This window comes from Homo sapiens, chromosome 14 (assembly GCF_000001405.40).
Source record: "Homo sapiens chromosome 14, GRCh38.p14 Primary Assembly".
NCBI classification, from domain to species: domain Eukaryota; kingdom Metazoa; phylum Chordata; class Mammalia; order Primates; family Hominidae; genus Homo; species Homo sapiens.
Window position 1 is genome coordinate 45,688,789 of NC_000014.9, and position 9,661 is coordinate 45,698,449.

General features: G+C 34.5%; 1 long non-coding RNA gene across 1 annotated transcript; it reads left to right on the forward strand.

The window, feature by feature from the left end:
- Window positions 1–204: 204 nt before the first annotated feature.
- Window positions 205–8,192, forward strand: LOC107984644 (uncharacterized). The gene is made up of 3 exons (XR_001750927.1): window positions 205–228; window positions 7,637–7,702; window positions 8,152–8,192. It is a non-coding gene; the product is annotated as an uncharacterized LOC107984644 (long non-coding RNA).
- Window positions 8,193–9,661: the final 1,469 nt, after the last annotated feature.

Consider the following 9,661-nt stretch of genomic DNA (forward strand, 5'->3'; position numbering starts at 1 on the left):
GATGAAATAATCTGTATAACAAATCCCTATCATACAATTTTACCTATGTAAAAACCCTGCACATATACCTTTGAATGTAAAATAAAAGTTAAAAAAAATCTTGGTTTTCTAGCATTGGGTGCATATATATTTACAGCTGTTATATCCTTTTGCTGAATGATCTTTTTATCTCTCTATAGTAACCTTCTTTATTTCTTTTTACAGGGCTTGTCTAGGGATCTATTTTATGTAAGTATAGCTACTCCTCCTCTTTCTCTTTTTCAGTCCCTTTATTTTAAGTCTGTGTCTTTTTATAGGTGAAGTGAATTTCTTTGGGGAACATAATGTTGAGCATTATTTTTTATATGCATTCAGCCACTCTATGTCTTTTGATGGAAACATTTAGTCCACTTACATTCAGTGTTGTTATTGATAGACAAGAAGATACTACTGCCACTTTGTTGTTTGTTTTCTGGTTGTTTTGTTGGTCCTCTCTTCTGTCCTTTCTTTCTTCCTGTTTTATTTTGTAAACAATTTTCTCTGGTAGCATGTTTTAATTTCTTGCTTTTTATTGATGGTGCATCTGTTACAGGTTTTTGTTTTGTGACTATCATAAGGTTTGTAAATAATGTCTTATAACTAAATATTTTTAAACTGATGACAACTTAACTCTGATTACCAAGAAAAGAAAAACAAGCAAAGAGAAAACTAAAAAATGCTACACATTAACTCTATGTGCCCCACTTTCTGACTTTTTATTGTATCTGTTTATATCTTTTTAAGTTATCTACCTCTTAATAAATTTTTGTTGTTATTTTTGATAGATCTGTCCTTTAGTCTTCCTACTAATGATATGAGTGTAACAATCAGAAATGATAATGAGAATAACATCACTGACCACACAGAAATAAACAACCATCAGAGAATACTATAAACACCTCTATACACATAAACTAGAAAATCTAAAAGAAATGGACAATTTCCTGGACAAATACACCCTCCCAAAACTGAACCAGGAAGAAATGTAATACCTGAGTAGACCACTTATGTGTTCTGAAGTTGTGACAATAATAAATATCCTACCAACCAAAAAAAGCCCAGGACCAGATGAATTCACCACTGAATTTTACTAGAGGTATAAAGAGGAGCTAGTACCATTTCTACTGAAATTATTCCAAAAGATGGAAGAGGAAGGACTCTTCCTTAACTCATTTTATGAGGTCAACATCATCCTGATACCAAAACCTGGCAGAGATACAACAAAAAAGAAAACGTCACACCAATATCATTGATTAACATCAATGCAAAAATCCTTTATAAAACACTGGCAAACCAGAAGCACATCAAAAAGCTTACCCACCACAATCAAGTTGGCTTCATCCCTGGGATGCAAGGTTGGTTCAACATATGCAAATCAATAAATGTGATTCATCACATAAATGGAACTAAAGAAATAAACCACATGATCATTTCAATAGATGCAGAAAAGGCCTTCAATGAAATTCAACATCCCTTCATGTTTAAAACTCTCAATAACCTAGGTATTGAAGGAATATACCTCAAAATAATAAGAGCCATATAGGACAAACCAACAACCAATATCACACTGAATGGGCAAAAGCTGGAAGCATTCCTCTTGAAAACCGGCACCAGACGAGGATGCTTCTCTCACCACTCCTATTCAACATGATATTGGAAATTCTGGCTAGGGCAATCAGGCAAGAGGAAAACATAAAGGCTGTTCACATAGGAAGAGAGGAAGTCAAATTATGTTTGTTTGCAGATGACATGATCCTATATCTAGAAAACCCCATGGTCTCAACCCAAAGGCTTCTGAAGCTGATAAACAATTTCAGCGAAGTCTTAGGATATAAAATCAATGTTCAAAAATCGCTAGCATTTCTATATACCAACAACAGGCAAACAGAGAGCCAAATCATGAATGAACTCCCATTCACAATTGCTACAAAAAGAATAAAATACCTAGGAATACAGCTAACAAAGAAAGTGAAGAACCTCTTCAAGGAGAACTACAAACCACTGCTCAGAGAAATCAGAGAGTATACAAACAAATGGAAAAATATTCTATGCTCATGAATAGGAAGAATCAATATCGTGAAAATAGCTATACTGCCCAAAGTAATTTATAGATTCAGTGCTATTCTCATTAAACTACCACTGACATTCTTCATGGAATTAGAAAAAACTATTTTAAAATTCATATGGAACCAAAAAAGAGCCCAAATAGCCAAGACGATCCTAAGCAAAAAGAACAAAGCTGGAGGCATCACGCTACTTAACTTCCAAGTATACTAAAGGCTACAGAAACCAAAACAGCATGGTACTGCTACAAAAACAGACACATAGACCAATGGAACTGAAAAGAGAACTCAGAAATAAGACTACACACCTACAGCCATCTGATCTTTGACAAACATGACCAAAACAAGCAATGGGAAAAGGATTCCCTATTTAATAAATGGTGCTGGGAGTACTGGGTAGCCATATGCAGAAAATTGAAACTGGAAATTAACTCAAGATGGATTAAAGACTTAAATGGAAAACCCACAACTATAAAAATCCTAAAATAAATTCTAGGCAATACTATTCAGGATATAGGCATAAGCAAAAATTTCATGACAAAAATGCCAAAAACAATTGCAACAAAGGCAAAAATTGACAAATGGGATCTAATTAAATGAAAGAGCTTCTGCACAGCAAAATAAACTATCATCAGAGTGAACAGACAACCTACAGAATGGGAGAAACGTTTTGCAATCTATTCATCTGACAAAGGTCTAATATCTAGAATCTACAAGGAACTTAAATTTACATGAAAAAAACAACTCCATTAAACAGACACTTCTTAAAAGAAGACATTCATGTGGCCAGCAAACATATGATAAAAAACTCAATATCACTGATTATTAGAGAAATGCAAATCAAAACCACAATGAAATACCGTCTCCTGCCAATCAGAATGGCTATAACTAAAAAGTAAAAAAACAACAGATGCTGGCTAGGTTTTGGAGAAAAAGGAACACTTTTACACTGTTGGTGGGAGTATAAATTAGTTCAGCCATTGTTGAACAGTGTAGTGATTCTTCAAAGACAAAGAGGCAGAATTACCATTTGATCCAGAAATCCCATTACTGGGTATATACCCAAAAGAATATAAATCATTCTGTTATAAAGACACATGCATGTGTATGTTCATTGCTGCACTATTTATAATACCAAAGTGATGTAATCAACCTAAATGCCCATCAATGATAGAGTGGATAAAGAAAATGTGGTACATATACACCATGGAATACTATGCAGTCATAAAAAGGAATAAGAGCATGTCCTTTGCAGTGACATGGATGTAGTTGGAAGCCATTTTTCTCAGCAAACTAATACTGGAACAGAAAACCAAAAACTGCATACTCTCACTTATATGTGGGAGCTGAATGATGAGAATACATGGACATGTGGAGGGGAACAACACACACTGGGCACCTGTTGGGTGGCGTAGGGGAGGGAGAGCATCAGGAAGAATAGCTAATGGATGCTGGGCTTAATACCTGGGTGATGGGATGATCTGTGTAGTGAACCACCATGGTACACGTTTACCTATGTAACAAACCTGCACATCCTGCACATATACCTCTGAACTTAAAGTTGAAAAAAAAGATGAGTGTATGATACACTGAAATTATAGTATTATTCTGAGATTTTTTAAATGTACTTACTTTTACCAGTGAGTTGTATACCTTCAGATACTTTCTGCTTGCTTGTTAATGTCTTTTTCTTTCAGATTGAAGAACTTCCTTTAGCATTTCTTGTAAGATAGGTCTGATGTTGCCCAAATCCCTTAGCTTTTGTTTTTGAGAAAATTTTTATTTCTCCTTCAGATTTGAAGGGTAATTTTTCTGGATACAATATTCTAGGTTGAAACTTTTTTCCTTCAGCACGTTTAAAATGTCATCCCACTGCCTCTGTTCAAAGATTTCCATTGAACAGTCTTCTTCCAGACATATCAGAGCTCCTTTATATGTTATTTGCTTTCTTTTGCTGCTCTTACAATCCTTTCTTTTCTTTTGAGGGTTTGATTAGTATATGCCTTGAGATAGTCTTATTTGGATTGAATATGCTTGGTGTTCTTTGACCTTCTTGTCCCTCAATATTCACATCTTTTTCTAGGTTTGAAAAGTTCTCCGCTGTTTTTTTTTTGAATAACCTTTCTTCTCTGATCTCTCTCAACATCCTCTGTAAGGCCAATAACTCTTGGATTTTCCCTTTTGAGGCTATTTTATAGATCCTCTATGCATGCTTCATTCTATTTCATTCTCTTTTTTTCCCTCTGATTGTGTATTTTCTTATAGCCTGTCTTTCAGCTCACTACTTCTTTTGCTTGATCAATTGTGATATTGAGAGACTCTGATGTATTTTCAGTTTGTCGATTGAATTTGTCAGCACCAGAATTTCTGCATGGTTTTTAAAAATTATTTCAATCTCTTTGTTAAATTTATCTAATAGAATTCTGAATTTTCTCTGTGTTATCTTGAAGTTCACTGAGATTTCTTAAGACAGCTATTTCGAATTCTTTCTCTGAGAGGTCACATATCTTCACCCCTCTGGGACTGGTCATTGGCACCTTATTTAGTCCACTCGGTGTGGTCATGTTTTCCTAGATGTTTTTGATGCTTGTTTTGTCAATGTCTGAGCATTTCCTCCTTAAAATCTTACTCTTTTTTATTTTATGTCTTTAAAAAATCTAAATATATATATATATAATAAATATATTTCCATGTGAATAAAACATAGTCTGTATTGTAACTTTTAATATGTGGATATGAATGAAGAGGTACTTAGTTTCTATTATTACACTTAAAATAATGCTACTAAATAGTTACTGAAAATAATGCTACAATAAGGAATTCCTTTTGTATTAGAAATGCAGAACATTTCCTGACCCATCCATATCTCCTTATGAATTTCAAATGGGCAGTGGAATAGAGGACATGGCATTCAGCATTCCCTCCACAAATGGAGGATTAATCTAGGCTTTCATAACTTTTGGCTTGGCTCAAAAAGATGAGATGAGTACTAGCAGGTTTCTTGCTCAACAATTTGGAACTATGGAACTAAAAAAAACTGTGCTAACCACTTATAGTTGAGTTGCAAAAATCCTTAATAAGATACTGGCAAACTGAATCCAGCAGCACATGAAAAAGCTTATCCACCACAATCAAGACATATATGACCATGTGTAAGCTAGGGATTAAAAAGAAATTGGAAATCTATAGAAAGAGAAAAAATGGAGCAGACATACGAGCACCTACTATGTGCCACTTATTGTTCTAGCTGCTTGGGATACATAAATGAATAAAACCAAGATTTTTGCTTTCATATAGTAAGCTTTCTAGAGAAGGGAGGCAATAAACAACTGACATTTTAAATGAGTGAGATAGCTATTGGAATGCTATGGAAAGAAAAGAAAGAGCAGAATAAGGGGGACTGGGAGAGCAGGTTGTGAGGATAGATGATTTGGTTCTTGTGAGGTGGATGGAGAAAGCCGCTGCCTTGGTTTTGACCACTTTCTAGTTAGTAGTTTAAGTTTGCATGAATTCTTCCCAGCTGTACTTATTTACAACACATTGCTTTTATGACCTTTAGGTATCCTTCAATATGTCTCCTTTTATATTTGAAATAGTTTCAATCTGTTTCTGTTCTTTTAAACTTCAATAAAAATATTCTTATGCATTAATTTTTGGGCACTTATCCAATAATTCTCATAGGATAATTACCTATTAGAGGATTACCAGATTAATGAATATGCATATTCAAATTTCTCATTTAGTTTTTAACTGAATTTGTGTTTTAATTTTATAACTCTCATAATATTGAGCGAGATGAATAAATATTCATGTGACATATTTCCAAACATAAACTATATCAGAGTCCAGTCAAAAGACAGAAACCGTGTCAGTAATTTAAGCAGGGAAAATTTTATATAAAGTATTTTTAATGAGATAAAAGTGGTTAACTATTAAAAAGGGTAAAAGAGAACACTAAAATGTACAGAGGAAGCATCTGTAGAGAGTAACTATGGGCTACTACTTCCAGAGATAGGGGGAAAGTACACAAGAAAGGAATTTAGAGAAAGAATCAATAGGGCTGTGATTCAGATCTCTACGTAGAAGGTGTGGCTGCCACCGGAAGATGCTGCTCACTACTACAGTGATCAAGGAATTTGATGGAGACTGCTTGGCTTAATAACTTGAGAGCCACCACTACTGTGGTGGCCTTTGTTGGAGGGCATCTGCTGCTGAACTGCCAGGATAGTCACTAGCTCCTGGAACTTCTGCAAATCCCTTCTTTCTCTTCTAACCTGGCAGAATCCCTCCAGAACTCTTGATTGGCTGTGCCTAACAATGAGCCAATTAGCAAAAAAGAAATGTAGTCTGTGTAGGAAAAGAAGATGGGTTTGGATTTGAGAGAGGTAATGTATTAATATACCTGCAAATGTAGTCATCATATTCTTTAAATCCATAAGCAGAGTGGCTTCTACCTAGTAGAAAATAAGGCAGAAAAGCAAAGAATCCTTACAGTTTTCTCTACACCAAATAATGTATTTGGGTACAATCTTATTAGATATGAAGCTATTTTGAGCATGAAAAAGTTTCTAATCTTTTCAAAATTTCATCTTCAGGCCATAGTTCTGGCTGCTATATGGAAAAATGATGGAATGGTTTGTTTCATTATTCAGTTTTATCACCCAAGTGAAGACCAGATAGTACTTGAGTCCAGAGAGAATTTTATTGATTTAAGTTTAATACTGTGTATTAATCTTCCTTTGAGCAGTCCTTTCTACTCATCAGATTCCCTACATACTGCTTACAATTATTTTCCATGTATTACCTGCAAGCCTTTTCAAATGCATTTGTCTCATGGGAATTCAAAAGCTCTAGAAACATTTTTTAGTATGTATTTTAGTGGTTGCAGTTTCAAAGAGCAGCAGCACCTGGTGAGATCATCACCATTCATCTGGTATCTCTTAGAGAATGTGGTAAGTTGTCCAATGAACTAGATACTTTTCTGTATTTATTTCTCTCCTTTTTTTCATATTGCATCTGCTCAGCAAATTATAGTAAGATAAAGAAAGAAAAATATTCTACATGACTACAAGTTTTATTTACATGGAATAATCATCAAAAGGCATCCTTTTTTTTTTTTTTACCGCTCTGTATTATACAGCCTAAATTCAAACTCCCCTCATGACTATTAGGCTAGGCCACTAAATTGTCTCCTGGACTCTATTCTTACTTGCCTCACTTCTGTCCTTCATGCTATTTCTTTTTGTCTGTGAAGTATTTCAAAAAAGTCCTAATCTTGTTGAAAATCAGCTCTTTCTCCAGAGTTAAAAGTCGTAATTGCTTCGCAGTGACCAAGTTCCATTGCAAGGCAGACAAGGCTCCATCTCCAGCTGCTCACCCCCTTTTACTCTGTATTTCAGTTTCCTGAGCCACCAGCTATTATGCACAACTGCATTCTGTTTCTTGCCTAGTGAGTTCCTACTCATCCTTCCAGACTCATGTCAAGGGTTATCATGAAGATGTCCCTCAGGCTTGGGAAAAATGGTTTAATCTTTGCCACCACTGTTTTCTTACAGCATTCATTCAGACATTTCAAATATTTGAGCACCTGCTATGGACAGAAGAGAATAGAGAGGGATGAGGTAAGAGATGGGAGATTTTGGGTAGAATGACTTACTTCTCTGAGATAACATCGAACAGGGTGTCGAATGAACTGATGAAGTGAGCCACGTGGCTCTCTGGGCAAAGAACATTTCGGACATGGGGTACAGTAACTGCAAAGGCCTTGAGCCAGGGATATGTTTTGGCATAGAAAGAATAGCAAGGAGACATGACTGGCAGAAGAAAAGCAAACCAAGGGGAGAGTGGTTGAAGATAGGCTTGATATTGGGTTGGAGTGAGGGCAGATTGTTTAAGGCCTTATGAGCCATGGGGAGAATTTTGTTTTTGATTCTGAATGAGATGGGAAGAGAAATATTGTATAAAAGTATATGAGATTGAGTCCCATATACTTTTACCATGGAGAGAAAATTAATCCTTTAGAATATGGGAACATGATATTTCCTAATTAAAAATCTTGTTACTTTTGCAGCCAAACCTGAAGTGCAACAATGGGTAAAGCTGCTGTTTTGTAGGTAGGAGATATATTTAAATAAAATGAAATGATGATTCTTGGAAAATTCAATTTCTTCTTATCAAATCTCTGAAAATGAAAAAGGCTTACAATTTGTGCAACTCCTTTGAAAATAGTCTTCTAGCCAGTAGTAGGTTTTGATTATGTATTAACCTATATTGCAAATCAAACTATTGCAATGGCACATTGGATTTTTTTGATCACTTTGTGTCTGAATACATGAACTATATTTGTAATTTAAATTACTTTTTAAAAATTCATAGTAAAATCTTGACAGAGGTAACAAAAATAACACAGAAGTATACAATTGTTTTCAGTATGGAAAGGACTTTTTAAAACAGATGATATCTTTATTATTTTATAGAATGAATTAACGTGCAATTTGCATAACTCTAGTAATTTAATGAGAATTCTAAAAGTAATAAAAGTACATAGGCTGTAATAAATACTGACTTTCAACTGATTTTAAGAAATAAAAGTACGTAGGCTGTAATAAATACTGACTTTCAACTGATTTTAAGAAATAAAACATATTTGAAAATCATGGACATGCTTAGGATTAAAACCACGGTCTATGTTAGAAATTGTATAAAAATCAGGGACTTGGGGAGTTTCAACAGTGCTGTAGTTCACACAATCAAAGGTGCTAAAGTTATGACATTCTCTTTATAGTATGTGGTCCATTTCACCATCTAGTTTCTATATGCATTTCAGAAGTGCAATGCACTGTGATACTGAATGTAATTTATCTCTGAAGAACTATATTAACTCCTTTTTAATAACTGAGGATGTTACATGACTAACATCTAAGCCTACCACACAAATTGATCAAAATTGTTTCAGCTACATAAAACTGTACCACAACAATTTGAAGTGCATTAGAATCCAATGGCAGCACAGATTTTAATCCACACTCATGTTCCTGCTATCAAAAAATCTTATATGCGGTGTAAGAAGGTGATGATGAAGTTGATTTCCTTGTCTGTATGCTTAGAAGCAGTCACACCAGAGGAATAGAAGGAGGATGAACCAGAATGAAAGTTTCTCAGAAAATATTTTAAGGAAATGTCTTTCTCAAATCCTTATTATATATTATGTCTATGTTATTCAGTTTTGGATACTTGATATTTTGCCAAAAATTAAGTGTTTCTTTTCTGCTAAAGTCACATGCCTACTCCAGACATCTCCATGTTTCCCAGAATTTCATTTGAGTTCTAAGAGATACTAAATATAGAACTAGATAAAAAGAAAGTAGATGAATAAACAGCCTGTCCATTCATCTGCAAGTTTAGACCATGCCCACATAATCCAACAAACACCATTTCACTGACAATTCTTTTCTGGCATTCTTTGATTTATATATTTTCTCAGAATGACAAAATAATTTAACATTATGCAAATAAGAATGATTTGTGTAATGTTACTAATATGGTTTGGATGTTTGTCCTCTCCAAGTGTTGACATGTGA